The 19,282-nt window shown below is 34.6% G+C and overlaps 1 protein-coding gene across 2 annotated transcripts, besides 1 other annotated feature; it reads left to right on the top strand.

Moving 5' to 3' along the window:
* The first annotated feature begins 409 nt into the window (after nucleotides 1-409).
* ANXA1 (annexin A1) lies at nucleotides 410-18,938 on the top strand. 2 transcript variants are annotated; one of them, XM_017014657.2, is made up of 13 exons: nucleotides 410-2,887; nucleotides 7,067-7,146; nucleotides 7,240-7,348; nucleotides 7,874-7,968; nucleotides 8,808-8,921; nucleotides 9,348-9,438; nucleotides 11,327-11,406; nucleotides 12,021-12,077; nucleotides 13,661-13,754; nucleotides 14,642-14,737; nucleotides 16,042-16,100; nucleotides 17,577-17,699; nucleotides 18,596-18,938. In XM_017014657.2, the coding sequence occupies exons 1-13, from the start codon at nucleotides 2,869-2,871 to the stop codon at nucleotides 18,650-18,652; spliced, it is 1,074 nt and encodes a 357-aa protein (XP_016870146.1). In that variant the 5' UTR covers nucleotides 410-2,868; the 3' UTR covers nucleotides 18,653-18,938. The 2 variants fall into 2 exon arrangements, with proteins under 2 accessions (XP_016870146.1, NP_000691.1); NM_000700.3 differs by having other exon boundaries at nucleotides 410-469.
* Nucleotides 2,398-2,692: a silencer, noted in NCBI's record as "tiled region #9166; HepG2 Repressive non-DNase unmatched - State 24:Quies, and K562 Repressive DNase unmatched - State 1:Tss". NCBI's record gives its function as "represses a minimal TATA promoter and a strong SV40 promoter by Sharpr-MPRA in HepG2 and K562 cells {active_cell/tissue: HepG2 | K562}" and the evidence as "EXISTENCE:reporter gene assay evidence [ECO:0000049][PMID:27701403]".
* Nucleotides 18,939-19,282: the final 344 nt, after the last annotated feature.

Here is a 19,282-nt window from a genome sequence, read left to right on the forward strand (position 1 = left end):
AGTGATGGAGGTGGAATTCAAATGTAATATTTTGTTTGTTGGTTTGTTTAGTTTTGAAGGTAACATACTTTTTAGTCTACAACCTATTTAACTACAAAAGTGTGCCAATCACTGGTATTAGGATTGGGGCAGATGTATACTCTGAAAATAAAAGTGCAAAATAAATATCCCATCTGGAAATAAAAGTGCAAAATAAAGAGGGAGGAAAAATCAGCCCTTCCATTTCTTTTCCTTTGTAATGCCAGTTGAATTGGTTTAGTGAGTAGTTTTGCAAGACTTGTTTCACTTTGTTTTTGGACATAGCTGAGCCATGTACTTCAAACAGAAGGCAGCCAATTACTAACTTCTGGTTGCTAGGTGTGGCTTCCTTTAAAATCCTATAAAATCAGAAGCCCAAGTCTCCACTGCCAGTGTGAAATCTTCAGAGAAGAATTTCTCTTTAGTTCTTTGCAAGAAGGTAGAGATAAAGGTAAGTCTTGGTTTTCCTTTTAGTTAGTTTTGGTTGTTTTGAAAACTTTTCTCATCACTATGTTAAATGTTACTGCTTCTACAGGATTTATGGTTAGTTGCATTTAACATGATAAGTCATTCATAAATCTTTCTGTAGAATTACATTGGATATTTATATTTTAGGAATCACAAATTACAATATTTTTGTTCTACTTAGTTAACAAATACAAGTAAAAATAAGATAAGTTTGCTTAATACTGGCTCATTGTACTCTTGGTAAGTTACCATGAGAAAGAAGGGAAGAATGTGCTTTCCCTCTGGTAGCCTTAAAAGAATGTGTTTTTCCTTTCCTTCCCCTTGAAATATTTCTTCCCAAGAGCTGTGTGTTTTACAGAGAAATCGTGATGGGGGCTGCTTTTTGGGGGCAAGAACAAAAGTGATAGGAGTGGGCTGCAGGGAACTGTTTCAAAATAGTAGGACTTTCATAATTTATTTTCTTCTTTTGTAAGGAAAACAAGATAGATTCAGACCTCAAAGTGCTAATCATGCTCTTTGTAATAAACATTTAAAAATATATGTTATATTTGCTTATGCTATTTAAAATAAGAAGGTCCGCTTATTACTTTTTTCATTTAAAGAGGGTGTGGCCACATTCCTTTTCTTGTAGGCTCTGTGTCATATACAGTCTTTTCAAGTGCTGGCTGGAAAACCTAAAAAGAAGGGAAATACTTTCTGGGTAGTGTCAGATACATTATCCTAGGGGAATGTCAGTGAGGCCCTCCAACAGCTATTCCACTTGATTGTTGCATGAGCTAATGGCCATAAAACTCCTTAGAAAAGCACAAAGCAAAACTAAAGAAGAGTATTTACTAGTGTTGGATATATTTGTAAAAGTGAGATTACAAATCATGTATCTGGCTATTTTTTTCTTAAACATGTTCCTTCAAGAATTTTTCTGTTCGTTCATTTTAAATATTTATTAAATGTTCTGATTTCTTATGTTCACTGCTAGCTAATTAACAAGGATGGAATTTTTCTTGCCTTGGTTATATCTAAAAGATTGTAAAAACTTTGAGAAAGCAATGTTGCCCTCTTTCCACAGGAGTATTTTGGTAGCTGTAAGAGAATGCACATTGCAAATGACTCAAATGTGGTAAAATGTTGGTTTCATAATTCTGAAATGGCCTCTTCCCCAAAAGTGACAGTAACACCCTAGCTCCAGGCTCAACCACATCCAGCACATAGCCAACATTTAACAGATGTTGACAAAATAGTTAATAATAATATTATTAAGGAACCAGCCAGAGTTTCATGCTTATTAAATACTTTTTCAACCAGAAGGTCTGCAAAGGTTGATTTCTGAATATGACGTTAGCTCTCTCTAGACCTATTAATTTACGACATTTCAAATCAGAGGTAAACCAGCAGACCTATTATTTTTCAATGATAAACTATAAACAGTTTTTTGAAGTCAACTATTTCCTTTTCCTTTAAAATTGGACAGAATTTCATCAGGAAGCTCAGAACAATCCAATTTATATAATGCCTTCCTTCATTATGCTAATTTTCTTCATCTTCATCTACTTGAAGTAATATTTAAGATTGGCACTTCAGAGCTGTAAATGGATCTTAGATGATAATTACTTCAACATTCTTATTTTATAAACGAAGACCCTCTGGAGAAGCTAAATGTTTTTCTTGAGGTCAGATCGCCAGATAATCAAGAACCAGTATACTTCAATTTGTATTTTATATCCTATAGTTGTGGGTAGAAAATGTTCATTAAATTAGTGTAGATATGTTTTTTAAAATATTAGCAATGATACATGATATTCATTCAATAATACTTATTAACATCCTAAATTCCAGGCATTTTGCTAGGGATTGGAAGTACATACATAATGAATATTATTATTTGTATGTTAGCACGGGCCTCATGGCCTGCTCCTGGGGAATATAAACAAGCCAATGGAAAGTGATAATACAGAAAGGTGGGGCTGGTGTAGGGGTGAAGTCAGGATGCTTTGGGAGAGCATGGAAGGTCACCGAATCCAGTGCTGAGGAACTAATGAAGGGTTTCTGAAGAACGTGATGAGATCAATGCTGATGAGTCACTTAGAAGTAGCAATTAGTTAGGCAAAGGGAAGTGAATGTGGAGGAGGAACAAGCATTCCAGGCAAGAAGAACACCCTATCGAAAAGCCTGGAAGCAAAACATTAGTGAGGCTACCTTTCATAAATTGCTTTCTGTAAGTCATGCCATTGTGTAGTCTTAATTGCTTTCTCTCACCAGGGAAGGTGTGGGAAGGACTTGTGAAATACATATTCGAGGAAAAACTATGCACAAGGCCGTGCATTTAAAAATAAACTCCCTAAGGCTGGGGTGAAACCTGCTACGGTCTGCGCAAGTTGACTGTTAATGAATTTGATTCTCAGGTGTGAGTGATTAAAAGAACACTGATCATGTCATTTTCTTTTTGGTCACTAATTCCCTCCCTCCCTTCTCTTTCTTTTCTTTTTTCTTTTCTTTTCTTTTTCTTTCTTTCTTCCCGACAGAGTCTTGTTATGTCGCCCAGGATGGAGTGTAGTGGTACAATCTCGGCTCACTGCAGCCTCCGCCTCTTCCTGGGTTCAAGTGATTCTCCTGCCTCAGCCTTCTGAGTAGATGGGACTACAGGTGCACACCACCATGCCTGGCTGATTTTTGTACTTTTGGTAGAGACGGGGTTTCGCCATGCTGGCCAGGCTGGTCTTGAACTCCTGGCCTCAAGTAATCTGCCCACCTTGGCCTCCTAAATTGCTGGGATTGCAGGTGTGAGCCACCATGCACAGCCAAAATATATAACACTTTGGAATCAAAAGGGATGGATTTATGTCTCCATTCTTGCCACTACTAGCAGGAAGACTGCTTGAAAATAGCACTCAGTTTTCCCAGATAGAAACTGAGGATAATGATTAAAGGCTATTATTCCAAGCAAGGGTTAGTCATTGCTGTTACTATCATTGCAAAACTCTGATAGTTCTAGATTGTAACCAGGAAGATACAATCAACCACAAAACTCAGCTTCCTCTGTCACAAATTCTAGATAGAGGTAGCCTTTCATGAGGCTGAGAGATGGAAAAATGAAGCGGGGGGACTCTCTTAGGACACATAAATATGCAAAAAAATTGCTACGCTTTAGAAAGCTATACATTCAAATCATAGATAAGCTGACATTAGTAGGCAGTGCATGTTCACAAAAAGACCATTAATTAGAAGAAATGTGAAATATTGTTAATTTCCTTATAGATTTGCCTATGTATAAATGGCCAATTTCACCGTCAATGAGCTCATGCTAAGTACTGAAATAAACTTAGTTTTAGAGCTTATCTTTGGTTAGTTGAAATCTGTATTGAGTTAGTTGAAATCTATAAGTTGATAGAACAGGCTCTTTAAAATCTATTGCAAGCTTTATACACTACAAACAAAAAGATAGAAAAAAGAAAACCTTTCATGAACTCATTGGCTTAGGCAGGTTTTCATGCAGAGTGTAGGTATTGAAGAGTCAGAACGGCTTAAGGATAGAATTTGGCCAATATATAAAAAAATATATATTTGGTATTTGTTAGTTGTATTATAATTATTCAGAAGTTCAGTTAATACGTGCAGTTGGCTTTGAGCCCTTAACCAGCTGTATGTGATAAAATCTGTTTCCTTTAGAGCAATTTCTTATATCCTGCCTTGATGCTCCTGTCTTTAATCTTTGCTAAGAGCTGGTGGTGAATTTGGCTGAATTCAGATTCCGTTTTTCTCTAATTGATTTCTTGAAGAAAATTCTCTATTGGTTGCTTTTCTTTCCTAGATTATGCTTTTAGTCTATCCAAATACTTCAGGCTAGAATGTAGGAACTTAGAAGATACAAATCACAAAGCTGTCTCCTCTAGGGATGCTCTCTCTTTCAAATAAGTGACTTAAACAACTTATTTTTGTTATCTTGTGTTATGTAATTAATATACCTTTTCCTGGGCTTTCTCTGGCTTTTTTTTTAAATGGACATTATTCAAGTATTTTTTAGAAGTAAAAAAAAAACAGTACAGTAAAGTTTTTATAACGTTTATTTTGAAGTTGTCAGAGACACCTTTAATATTAGACTGGACAATATCTTTAGTCTTTCTTTTGCTTTCTTTTGAAGTTTTTATTTGCTAATTGAAAAGAATGGAATAATAATAATAATAATAATAAATAAATAATAATAATAAATAATATAAATAAATAAATAAATAAATAAAATAAATAAATAATAAAAACATGTTTTTATAAGTGATGGAGTAGTACTTTGCCAAGTGATGAATTTTAACACTCATTTTGATGATTCTTCCTTATCAAAGCCTTGGATGAAATGATGAAAATGGAAATTTTGAGTGCCTGAAGCTGCTAGAATTGCTTTTAAAGTATTGGGTGTGCCAATTAAGAAGGTGGAATATGAAACTCCATGTGGCAACCGCAATTGCATGAAACTAGACTGTAATGGGAACTAAAACCTTGTGCAAAATTGCGGGTTGTTACTTTATCAGGAAGCAATTTTAAGTCTATCAATTATATTTAGGAAACAGGCTGCTTTAAATGAATGGAAAAAGTATTGGTTCTTCTCACAGATGACAGAATAGTAATAAGAGCAATCCCATGCGAATTAAGTGGGGATGATTTCTGCTTTGGATATTATTTTCTTCATGCATTCAGTGTTATTACTTGCAACTCCAGTTACTTTTTAGCAGGTGAAAATGGAAAGAGTTTGTCTGAACATGCTGTTGAGGAATCAGTTTATGGAATCAGTTTATGCCTCATGAGTCATTTATCTTCATATCAAGAATTTAAAACTGCCAAGATTGTCCTCCCAACCTCTCTCACAAACATTCATGAGAGTAGTCTCTAGAGGGGTGAAACAGAATGGTGTAGATAGACAGATCAGTGTAGACCTTGAGCAAGGCCTCTGAAAAACATCCCCAGACTAAAAGGATCTGTGATGGCATTTTGTGTGTGTGTGGCCAAAACAGAGAACACATTAATTTTCAATATACTTAAGATCTTAAAAATATATGTCTCATTAAATAAAAATATTGCCAAGTCATGATAGCAATTCAAGAAATTTCCTTTAAGATAGAGTTTGCCAAAAGAACATGCATGTTACAATTGCACCTCTAGGCTTCCTGCTACAACAAAAAAATCCAGTATAAAATAATTCTTTTCTGGGTTTTTTGTGTTGGGTGGGAAAATATGTAGGACTACTATTTAGACAGCTCAAATAGGAAGAAATGTGAAGATAGCAATTACTTCAATGCTGAGTACTTTTATATCAAGAAATAGAAAAGGAAACTAAATTATTCAGGGAGAAATATCACCTGGATATCTTTTTACAATTAAAATTTTAAATCTGAATTCACTTGTACAGATTGGCACAAGTTATTTTACCTTATAAATGTAATCATTGGCTGGGAGTGGTAGCTCACACCTGTAATTCCAGCACTTTGGGAGGCCGAGGCGGGCAGATCACTTGGGGTCATGAGTTCAAAATCAGCCTAGCCAACATGGTGAAAACCTGTCTCTACTAAAAATACAAAAATTAGCCGGGCGTGGTGGCTGGTGCCTGTAATCCCAGCTACTCAGGAGGCTGAGGCAGGAGAATTGCTTGAACCCAGGAGACGGAGGTTGCAGTGAGTCGAGATTTCACCACTGCACTCCAGCCTGGGCGACAGAGAAAGACTCCATCTCAAAAAAAAAAAAAAAAAAAAAAGCAATCATTAAGCTTTTCATCTAGCCATTACTTTTGTACAGGCTCTCATTAATTCCACATAGATGGTCTAATGGTCTACTAAATAGTATTCTAATCCTCCATCTTGTCTATCTCTTAGCCATTCTCCATGATAAAGGATGAATGGTCTTTCGGAAACATAAATGAAACCATGCTGCTTTAAAAAAACAAACAAACAAAAAGAAACCCATTAATGTTTTCCCAAAGCTTTGTGGACACATTGAAGCTTCTTGTTTCAGCTTCTGCCAACATTTCTCGCTCCAGCAAACTTTCTTCTGCTTCCCAAATATGACAAGCTTCTTCTTTAACTTTTCTGCCAGGTTAATCTTGACTCATTTCAAGAGAGGCTTGGGTCAGCCAGGGCCTACTCTAAGAAGTTTCTTTAGCCCTTATGTTTTCCTATGGAGAGCACACACTAGCTTTAAGTCCTGAGGGTACTTAAGATGATATTTCAATGTTTTTGTACTCTTAGTGCTTGGCATATGGTGGGTGGTCTACAAATTTAGAACAATGTAGTGAACCACAAACTCCTCTCTTCAGCCTGTGTGCTTACTTGTAGTAGTTGTCTGATCTCTAAAATTTAGAACTGAATATGCCAAGAAAGAGTTCAATTTCAGAGAGGAGGGTATGGTTTCATTTTAAGTATAAAAGCTTCCTTTAAAAAAAATTACGTCTTACATTTTGTTATGCTCCTAAGTGTAATTGATCCTGGAAAGTAAGCGCAAGGCTACTCTCTAATGCTAACTCTTATGTATGTAAGAGGTGAGGAAGGAGAGGTTGTGTGTGGTGCATTTGTTTTGTAAAAGCATCTAACTGTTTTCTTTCCAGACACTTTTTCAAAAATGGCAATGGTATCAGAATTCCTCAAGCAGGCCTGGTTTATTGAAAATGAAGAGCAGGAATATGTTGTAAGTAGAGTGATAATAAAATTATGATTACAATATTGAAATAAAAACGAATATAAGTAAATGGCCATTAATTTATTTCTCTCTCATTCTTAGCAAACTGTGAAGTCATCCAAAGGTGGTCCCGGATCAGCGGTGAGCCCCTATCCTACCTTCAATCCATCCTCGGATGTCGCTGCCTTGCATAAGGCCATAATGGTTAAAGGTAACGTGTTTCCTCAAAACAGTTCCCTCCTGGACATTTCAGAATGGCTATTTGAATGACTGTCAAAAAACAGACATGTGCAATGGAAAGAATCTGTTTCATTTTGAAGATAAAAACATTTCTTTGCCAAACGAAGATGTAATTATTTACTTAACACTGAGGAAATTGTGTTCACATCAGTGGAATCTCTATTGTTACAGCAGATATTACTGGCTCATTTCTAGCAGAAATTCCATGCTGAAATTAAAAGCTCTGTTCACATATAGAGTTGCAACTAGTATCAAACACTGCAACACTGAGGGCCAGGAAAAGTTAATTGTCTCTTCCTTTCTCACTCGAATGAAATGTCATTCTCCCAAGTGCTTCCTTGATATGTAGTATAGCATCGATTTTTTAGGCTGATATATAATTTATATTTCTTAATTTGTTAAGAAGTTCTTTTGGAGCATCTCAGTAATGAATTATTTTATGTCAATTGATGATGAAGAAAATTGGTGTTAAAGGCTGTTGGCCCTTTATTTCCAGGTGTGGATGAAGCAACCATCATTGACATTCTAACTAAGCGAAACAATGCACAGCGTCAACAGATCAAAGCAGCATATCTCCAGGAAACAGGAAAGGTAAGTTAGAGTGGTAAATTTAGATATTTAATTTCAGCATAGTTATACTTAACCATGGATTCGGAAGCACAGTTACCTAGTTCTTTAAGGTTCTAACCACTGTTTTCTCATTACATCTATGATTGGGATTGCAGTGTTTATCCACTTTGTTGCAATTTAATCAATTTTATCAAATTTCCTATTTTTATACATTAGTCATCTTGGTGTATATTGTTTGCAGATGTGGTGCTCTGGGGACAAATTTTTAATTTGAACGTAAACATCGAGATTGCTGCTGTCAATAAAGAATATGGTCTGATTGAAATGTACTAATATTTAAACTGAACTGTTTAATGCCTAAATTTTATATATAATTCTACTTTAAAAATAAGCCTTATGTCTTTTATACCAAATATGAGTAGTTTTCTAAAGCAATGAAATTAGAAAACTATATAATTTCAGTATCTGATTATACTGCTTGTTATTTGAGAAGTACAAACCTCAAAGATTGGAAACATGAATATATTATTTTAAAAGTAATTTTACTTCTGTTTTCTGTTAGCACACAGTCCTCTGTGTTTTGATCTTTGTGATTTCTCCCCTGTGTATAAGATTACTAACCCTATGCTTTAAGAAGTTATTGATGAATTCAGTAAATTTTATTTTAATCCCTCTAGATCTGGAAGGGTAAGATAATGTTTCAAAATATTTGGTACACTTTGTATGTGAAGGGAAGAAGCTCTAAAAGATGGTTGGGTTTAGGGATGAGTTGTACGATGACCTAAAGTCAGGTAATATCACATTTTTTAACCTAGCATGTTACTTATTGGAAGTCCTGATTCTAATCTTTTTTTTTGTAGCCCCTGGATGAAACACTGAAGAAAGCCCTTACAGGTCACCTTGAGGAGGTTGTTTTAGCTCTGCTAAAAACTCCAGCGCAATTTGATGCTGATGAACTTCGTGCTGCCATGAAGGTAAATCGCCCAATTTGAGCAAACTCCTTTCCTCAAGAGGATGTATTGGGCAAGTCACTTATGCTTATGTTATTTTCAAAATCTAGTATAGTACCTGTCAATCAGTGGGAGTTTGAAGAATAAATAAATTAATACCTCAATGAAGGAATTAATATATAAATGAAAACAGAAATGTTGGCACTAACACCTTCCATGTCATGTCACTATATGAGTCATATATTTGCATTTTTATTTTTACCCAAAATATTGATGATAAACTTGTTTTGTTTTAGGGCAATGTAATAGAGCTTATTGTAATTATTAAATGTTGTGGGTGAAATTTACTAAATGACAGAGTCAAACAAATTTTGGAACACCAAAAACTCATTGATCCTCTTGCATGAAGATTTTTTTCTACATTTATCCTTTTCTTCTCTTCAAATTTAGGGCCTTGGAACTGATGAAGATACTCTAATTGAGATTTTGGCATCAAGAACTAACAAAGAAATCAGAGACATTAACAGGGTCTACAGAGAGGGTAAGTTGTAATGTCCAACAGTCCAAACGCCTTATTTGAAAAGGAAATCTAATATACTTTCTTAAAATTGACTGTCTATGGTAATTATGGCAGCTTTGGAATCTCCACATATCAAAATGTTTCTTTATTGTTTGGCACATGTCTATTAAATGCTGTTACCAGGCAACGCTTGAGTTGCTAGGTTGCTGACAAGGGAGATGGTGTCCCAATCCGCATCAAGCTTGCGTTTTAATAGAAAATGTTCCTCTAGGATAAATGGCCACATACGATTATAATGGAAACCTCAATTCAGAGCATTGAATTTTTAAAAATTTCTGAAAAACACTTTTCTATTATTCTGGAATGTATTTTATAAAAATGTCCCAAGGTCATTTTTTTTGAAAAGAATATATAATAACAAAAAAATCTCCTAACAAAATGTTTTTCATTTGTCCTTGAAAAAGTAAAGAATTAGGTGCTTATAATTCTCTGTTGGAAACCTTAACTTTATCGTTATGAACATAAGAGACTCACTTTATCTCTAGTTAAATTCACAGAATAAAAGACTAGTCTTAGCTTATTTTATCTCTCCAGTGAAGCATCTCATTTAAATGATGTGCTCAACACTGAAAAGAGGGTAATTGCAAGTCTCTTACCATTTTCCTACTCTCATTTCCCTGAGCTGCTGGCTTTTTGGCTTTCCCAATGCAATATATGGCATATAGAAGATCTTTCTGCTTGATTCTCATACCAAGCATGGAGAATACAATAGCTTTTGCATATCATTTTCAGAGGAATTTAATAAAAGAATAAAAATAAGGAAGCTTTTAAACCTCATTTTCTGCAATTCTTATTTAATTACCAATGTTTATGTTAGATCCATGTGTCAGTGGTAATAATGATGATTATTTTTGTTTGATAAAACATAGTTTATAAAAATAAGTGTTTATATATTTTTCATATGGCCAAGATATAGGCCAGTGATAGTTTATTACATTGCCCAGTTTCAAGTTGTTTTAGTCCGTTTGTGTTGCTATAAAGAAATATCTGAGACCAAGTAATGTAAAAAGAAAGGAAATACTGTACAAGTAGTATGGGACCAGCGTCTGCTTTTGATGAGGGCCTCATACTACTTCTACTCATGGCAGAAAGCAGACAGAAGCAGATGTGTGCAGAGAGGGAGAGAGAGAAAAGGAGGTGCCAGGCTCTTTTCAACAGCCAGTTCTTAAAGAAACTATGAATGAGAACTCACTCCGAGCCATTCATGAGGGATCTGCCCCCATCATCCAAACATCTCCCAACAGGCCCCACCTTCAACAGTGGAGAATAAATTGCAACATGAGACTTGGCAGGGCCAAACAAACAATATGAAAACCATAGCACTAGTCAATTATAAATTCAATTATTTTTTCCTATTACAGTATTATTTTATGTAGTTAAGCAGAAGTGTTTACACACACATAAATCATCAAACTGCATTACTTATAAGACATTTATAGTTTTTAAACTAAATAAATAATTTGCATTCAAGCAAGTACCTCATTTTGTTCTTTTAAACAATTATTTTATTCATTCTATTGCTTAAATTCTGCCATGTTGTATTTCAGAATTAATTACTAATGTATACCTATACAATTTATTCTTAACGAAAGCTTTATGACTGTGAGTTTTCAATCACAGTATTATCTAAATTGCTCCCATTGCTTCATATGAAATAAATTCAATGATCCAAAAATTTACCTGCTTTAATTTTTCTCTTCTTATTTAAAAATGATAATATTTTGCAACATGTTCCATAAGTCATTGAACACTGTGGCACTGTGAATTTTCAACCAACTTAGAGATGTCAGATATTCTTATTATTATTCATCACTGGTTTACTATAAAATCTATTTTTCTTTTTTCTCAGAACTGAAGAGAGATCTGGCCAAAGACATAACCTCAGACACATCTGGAGATTTTCGGAACGCTTTGCTTTCTCTTGCTAAGGTACAACTCAGATACTTTAGGAAATGCCTCTTGTTTTATAAAGACTAATTTCTTAGTCCATTTTGTGTTGCTATAAGGGAATATCTGAGGCTAGGTAATTTTTAAAGATAAAAAGGTTTATTTGGCTCAGGATTCTGATGGCTAACAAATTCAAGTTTGGGTATCTATGTCTGGTGAGAGCCTCAGGCTGCTTCCACTCCTGACAGAAGAGGAAAGGGAGCTGGTGTGTGCAGAGACCACATGGCAAGAAAGGAAGCAAGAGAGAGAATGGGGAGGTGCCAGCCTCGTTAACAACCAGCTCTCGTGGTTCTCATGAGCAAGAACTCATTCCCAGTGACGGCATTAATCTCTTCATGAGAGATCAGCCCCAGGACCCAAATACCTCCCTCTAGGCCCCACCTTTAACACTGGGGATCAAATTTCAACATGAGGTTTGGAGGGGAAGAACATCTAAAACCATCGCAAGTAAAATCTTGTATCTGAGCTCCTTCTAGAAATGAGTAATAGAATACCTTTTTCTCAAAAAATATTATTTATCTGAGTTTAAGATAATTAAGTAAATCATGCAATTACATGCTAGAGAAGAGCTTACAATAGAATGGGATTTCTTTCAGGGTGACCGATCTGAGGACTTTGGTGTGAATGAAGACTTGGCTGATTCAGATGCCAGGGTAAGGAAGTGCTTACAAAATACTGCTGCAGTTCATCTTCCTACCTTAAGTGGGGCTACCACATGATCCCCTGTGAAAGCAAATCTAAGATCTTCTGAGAGACCAATGGCTTCTTAATGTTCATTTCCTGAATGAGGCATGTCTTTCTGTAGCCCCCACACACAAAAAAGTAGTCTTTGTAAGTTTTCAATATCTCTCATTATTCGTAAAACCAGAGAGAACTGAAGAAGGACAATACAAATTTGATTTGTCATTCCCAAGAATTGTTTGTTAAAAAAAACTCTGACCTTTCGTTGTACTAGGTATAAGAAGGGGAAATGTAATTTTTTTATTATGTGCAATGGAAAGAGTAAGCATATTTAACGTTATTTTTAACAGAGAACTTTGGAATGGTTTATAGATGTCAATTTATATTGTCAAAATATTACTGCAATGATATAACAAGAGTATAGGATAAATTATAATAATATATGCTTTCTAACATATTGTTTTATTTAGTTTCAGTGACATTGCTGATTATTTATATGCCAAACCACTGGCAACATAAGAAAAATCATATCATTTTAAAGCCTGGAATTTCCATTTAAAACAAACAAACAACTAATATTTGCATTATGCCTTCTCATGGAACAGTATTCTCTAGAGAATTCATTACAGTGCTTCACTAAGGATAGAGATTTCTTTGTGCACCCCCATCCACTTCTGCTATACCAGTACATTATCATGTACATAATAGGCACTCATGAACTTTTTGTTCAACAAATGCATACATATCAGATCAATTTGCTTGAAAAATGCAAAATAATTTTTACATACATTGAAGGTTTTATCATTTTAATAGAAATTGTTCAAGCATATTAAGGAACAAGAGTTAGCATTTGAATAATTGCCCATAATAAAAAATTCTTATTTGCTTTTGACATTTCTGAATTTGCTTTCCATTTTAAGACTATCAGGGTTCTTAATATATATTTATGGAGGTTACATGGATTAGTGTGACCCAAGAGAATGATGGTAGTCAACATTTCAAAGTTAATAAAGACCGCTTGTGACAATAGGGCAGGGATTATATTTTTCATATATAAAAGAAAAAAATCTGTCATTTAGTAAGGTTGATCTATTTGTCTAAGATTATGCAGCTTTGAAATTGCAGAGTCAGAATTTGAATACAGAAATTCTAACATCAAAATGCAAGGTCCAGGTTACGGTTGAATTATTGATTTATAAGTAACATTTGCTGATAATTACTTTGAACAACACAGAGTAAAAAATCTTTAGAGATCCCCTTGGAGTTGTCTTACTATAGAGCATAATCTTAAAGCAATTTAGTTCAGCAAACATTTATTCTGCAAACATATATTCAGACTCTAGTGTTTACAAGGCACCTTGAGAGAAACTGTGGAAGATATTTGACAAACAAAATAAGGTCCCTATCTTTAAAGAACTTGCAATCTTATTGTTGACTACTCTGATTGTATTGGGCACAAAGCGATTGCCTATATAATCTTTGACAAGGTCTAACATTATTGTGCAGATATCATTTCAGCAGATAGTGAAGTGTTTACTTTTGTGTTTCTTGACAGGCCTTGTATGAAGCAGGAGAAAGGAGAAAGGGGACAGACGTAAACGTGTTCAATACCATCCTTACCACCAGAAGCTATCCACAACTTCGCAGAGGTAACAATAAATTTCTTTTTCTGGAATCTGTTTATGGAAGATGCAATTTTCTTTTTTGATGACAAATAAGAGAAAGTAAAAACAGAACCCTTTTTCAATATCACTCCTGTATCAAACAGATACAGTGTTCCTGACCCATTGTTATTTGTCAATTTGTCCAATTTTGTACAGCCGCTACTTTATCATATTTAATACATTTTGTGACTTGGGCATGTGGAACATAATTTTGTTATTTTCACTGCTTTTACTCCCCTAAAAGATTTGGAATATGTGTGGGAAAAGACATGCATAACAGAACAAATGAAATTAGAATGAAGAAAAACAAAAAAAAAAAAACAAAAAACCCTCAGAGCTAAATGAAGAAAGAAATATGTAGGTGCTTTGGAAAAACAACAACAAGACAAAACTCAGAAAAAGTCCTGGCCTTTGAGTGCAAGATTTAGCTCTGGGCCTCTTGGAAGTGAAGGCGATGGAAAAGTTATGACAATTACCAAAGTTCACCATCTTATAATAGTATACTGATTTCTACTGTTAAATGTAAGAGAAATTTAGTGCACAGGTCTTTATATAAGGGAAGATCCATTTGCTGTGGCTCTTAGAACTGCTGTAGGAAGTGCTATAGTTGTCAATCACATGCCGTTTCTAATAACTGTCAACATTTGCAAACATTTCGCCAAAATATATAGGAATACCAAAATGGCCAGGTAAGTTACATTCCTAGGAGAGGATGAAGTATTCACGTTATGATTAATTGGGTATATTGCTTTAAAAGGTGTAGCCAAAGTTGTTATTCTAAAAAATTCTTTGAGTCAGTTGCCTTGATTTTGCTAAAGCTTTCTAAAGAAAAGGATGTTTTGCATGTATCTTAGTTTGAATTTAATATTCAGTGTTTCAGAAATACACCAAGTACAGTAAGCATGACATGAACAAAGTTCTGGACCTGGAGTTGAAAGGTGACATTGAGAAATGCCTCACAGCTATCGGTATGTAGTCCAGCAGTTGAAAGAGTTTTCTAACTAGAAATTGTATTTTCAAAGCTATCCTATACTTAACAAGAACAACAGCAACAAAACCAATAAAAGAAAACAAAAAACAATCAGAAGTAGTGCATCTGTTTCAATTGAAGCAACGTAAAAGATTGGCAAAGTACTATAACCTTAATAACAATAGATATTATTCCCCTTTTCAAAAATAGAGAGAGATAGACTATACTTATTGAGCACCTACTTATATCAAACAATGTACCAGGCTGGGCACACCACAGAGGCAATTCAGAATGGTCACTGAGAGCATGGGATCTGGAATAAATGTAACATCTGGATAAATGTAACTTCAAGTCCTGGTCTACTGCTTGTTAATTGTACAATCTTGGGCAGGTCCAGGAGAGTCTGATTCAGTGGGTCCGAGTTGGCCTCTAAAAATCGGTACTTTTTAAAGATCTCCCAGGTTATTCAGACAACCATCAGGGTTGGGGAACCTATGTTCTCAAGCAGTGTTTCTCATTCATGACTATGCACTTGAATCCCCTGGAAAGCTTGTTAAAATGCAGATTCTGATTCCCCAGGTCTGGGGTGGAGCTTAGATTCTGCTTTTCTAACAAGCTCCCCATTGATGCCAATGCTGTTGGTCCATAGATCTCGACAAGATGAAGAACACTATGAACTGGAATGTGCTAGTATTATTTGGGTTCTGTTTTATATTTAAGCCCATCCTATCCCAGAGTTTTTTCTTCATTTATTCATTTATTTTTACTTATTTGTTTGTGCAACTCTTACTTTAGACACAGAGGTACATGTGCACGTTTGTTCCATGGGTGTTCTGCACTCAGGCAGTGAGCATAGTACCCAATAAGTAGTTTTTTGACCAATGCCCCTTCTCTCCCTGCCCTCTCTAGTAGTCTGCAGTGTCTGTTGTTCATAGGGTGTTCTTTTTAAATGTTCTTATAGTAACATAAATAAAGTATTTACATAGGCTTGAACACCTAGTGGCTTCTCCACTCCCAAGGAGAATATATGTTGGATAGCGCAAACTACTGAAGTTGCTCTTGAGATGTATTTAAGGTAATAAAAAAATTGATCGTCAGGGAAAAGAATATTCAAAACCACCATCTAGAGAGTCACAAATACCTTCTCAGAAGTTAACTGCCCTATATTGGGAGATGAGAGGTGAAGAATGATGATGAGGGATAGAACACTGTTGGCAAAATTCTATATTTCCTGTTTCTTTCATATGGATATTTCATTTTTTTCATGGTAAATACATCAACTAAAATTTTCTTCTCTAACAGTGAAGTGCGCCACAAGCAAACCAGCTTTCTTTGCAGAGAAGCTTCATCAAGCCATGAAAGTATGTACCATTCTACTTATATGTCCTGCTTAGAGGAAGAATTATTTGTAGAAAGAACAGAAAACCTCATGTTGTTTGAAAATCTCACATTTAATATCTTCCCATTAATGAGAATCATTGTTCTATTTGATGAAAGAGGTAATACACTACCTTCTCAGAATAAACTTCTGTTAGATTCGGTGCTTTTTTTTACAGATGAGATTGTAAAGTGAGCCTGTAAGTGATTTACGGCTCACTTGTGATTTGCTTAAAACATGTGTCACCACGGGAAGGGTGATGTACTTTCTTTTTTAACGTGTAATTTTAGTGGCCTACTTCCTCTAAGGTTGTGAGTTTTATAATCTCCCACTTTATGAGTCTGATTTGTTGTTTTTATTATTCTGTCTTTTATGCCACAGATTAATAGTTGAAACTTTTGAAATGTCATTCTATGATTAAGGATGTAGAATGATGTATTTGAGATCAACTATGTCACTTTAACTTTACTGTCTGACATGCATGGTATTATACAAGGTACCTCTTCTATTCTGACATTTTGAGCCCACAAATGAATAGTTATGAAGTTATCTTCCTTTTTTCTTTGCAGCTCCAAAATAAGGAGGTTTTCAGAGAGAGAGAGAAAGAAAGATCTAACTATTTGAATAATATGAAGGAATATTTTGAATATATATGAATAATTTGAATAATATGAAATGATAGACATGCTAGGTACTGCTCTGTAGTGGTTAGCATAGTTGCTGCCCCCTTTCTGCCATAGTCTAGTGTGATATTTCGTTGGGTAATGATGAATACCTGGTGCCATGGAAGAGAAAAGTGGGACATATACTCCAGACTTTGGAAATCCAGGTAGCATTGCTGTCAGCTAAATTAACACCTGAAGTTTAAATAGAAATGAGCCAGATGAGGGCAAGAGTGGAAGAGATGGGGATAAAGCAAGGGTGGTCCAAGAGGAAGAAGTAACCCACACACAGGCTTGAAGGCAAAAGGTAACATAACCTTCTCAAGACAGTAAGTATAGAGTGATGGTGCACACTGGAAGAGATGGTAGAATTAGGCAGGATATTGTAAGCCTTGAAAAAGAATTAGGCAGGATATCGGAAGCCCTGATTAGATTCTATCCTAAGAGCAACAGAAGATCACTGACAGTGTTTTAAATAGATAGACTAGTTTATTAGATTTGCAGTTTAGAAGTTCCCTTTTTTTGTAATTATTGGACAGTGTAGAGACCGGATGGTGAGAGATGAGTTAGGAAGTTGTGACAGCTCTCTATACCTACCGCTAATGTAGAGGATTATTTATTTTCATTTCATTACCATTCGTGTAAGGTGTGTGTGTGTGTGTGTGTGTGTGTGTGTGTATAGCTAGTTTCTCTATAGAAATTATATGGAAGAGTAAGAAGGCTTCACTTTAAAATTCATGTTTTTAATGAGAGTATTTTCTGAATATGAGACACTTACCCTCATTTATTTTGGCCAGGGTGTTGGAACTCGCCATAAGGCATTGATCAGGATTATGGTTTCCCGTTCTGAAATTGACATGAATGATATCAAAGCATTCTATCAGAAGATGTATGGTATCTCCCTTTGCCAAGCCATCCTGGTATGTTTTGATTCCTCTAATGCCATCCCAACAAATGAAAGTTCTTTTTGCAAGATCTTCAAGGAGAAGAGTTGACTTATTGTATCTATAAATTTAATATGTAAGATTAATTTAATATATTATGGTGTATACTTCATGAGTAAATTGAACTTTCACTGGTAAAATCTACTAGTGAGTTCTCTACTGAAATACTGGGTACATTTTTCAACTAAAGTCATGGAAACATTTAGTTTCCCATGCATAAATTCAGCAAGCAGAATATTCTAGTGTTCCCCCTAGGGTAGATAGACATTGTGGTTTATTTTGCCATTAATATTTGTCAGAGGATTAGAAACTCCTTATTCAAAATATTTATCTTAATTCTATCACATGTAAAATGTTTAAAATTTATGTTCAAATTGTCTCATAAGAATGTTAAAAAATAAGACAAAGAACAGTCAAGGGTTTTGGACTTACTGAAAGGTAGATAACGATTCAAATTTAATTAATTAGTCATATTGGATAACTAAAATCTACCCAGAAAATGTGAGAAAATTACAGGCACTATACATTTCTCTTCTTCTGGTGAGTGAATCAGGTATCTCCTCACATAAGATATGAGATTATATTGTGTTATACTTATTTAATTTTGTGTGATATTTCATTCATAGAAAATAATGGCACTAATATAAAACATAATTAATTCAGAAAAGTTTGTAATCTCAGTCTTGAAGGCTATTGCTTTTTTATGCAATGATAAAAAATCAGTTATCTGTTGTATATATTGTTTAATTAAGTGAATGGTAATGTGTAATCTCATCTACAGCTAAGTCTAAAAATAATTCTTCTATAAGTAAAAAAAAATAGAGAATTATGGTTTCGACTAACATTAAGTATACCTTTTTTTGAATCAACAGGATGAAACCAAAGGAGATTATGAGAAAATCCTGGTGGCTCTTTGTGGAGGAAACTAAACATTCCCTTGATGGTCTCAAGCTATGATCAGAAGACTTTAATTATATATTTTCATCCTATAAGCTTAAATAGGAAAGTTTCTTCAACAGGATTACAGTGTAGCTACCTACATGCTGAAAAATATAGCCTTTAAATCATTTTTATATTATAACTCTGTATAATAGAGATAAGTCCATTTTTTAAAAATGTTTTCCCCAAACCATAAAACCCTATACAAGTTGTTCTAGTAACAATACATGAGAAAGATGTCTATGTAGCTGAAAATAAAATGACGTCACAAGACAATTGGTGTGTCATTGACTCTTCTATTTTGATTTTCTTTTCTGTGTAATTCAGTGGTTTAATTTGACATTAAGGGATACAAGCCTGAATTCTAGATTATAATTATTTAATGAAATAGAGTTCACATTCTGAATTGAAGAAAATACTTATAGCTTTTGAAAAGGGATACTACATTTTATCGTATGTGTACAGACTATTGAGATTGTGTCTCTGTATAATAAATTTATTGCACTAGCATTATAACAATTTGATATATTCTATATTTCATTAACTAGTATAAAGATGAAATGGCAATACTTGTAAAAAGTTCTCATGTTTGTTTCATGGTAATTTTAGGTTTACTTTTT

This window comes from Homo sapiens, chromosome 9 (assembly GCF_000001405.40).
Source record: "Homo sapiens chromosome 9, GRCh38.p14 Primary Assembly".
Taxonomy (NCBI): Eukaryota; Metazoa; Chordata; class Mammalia; order Primates; family Hominidae; genus Homo; species Homo sapiens.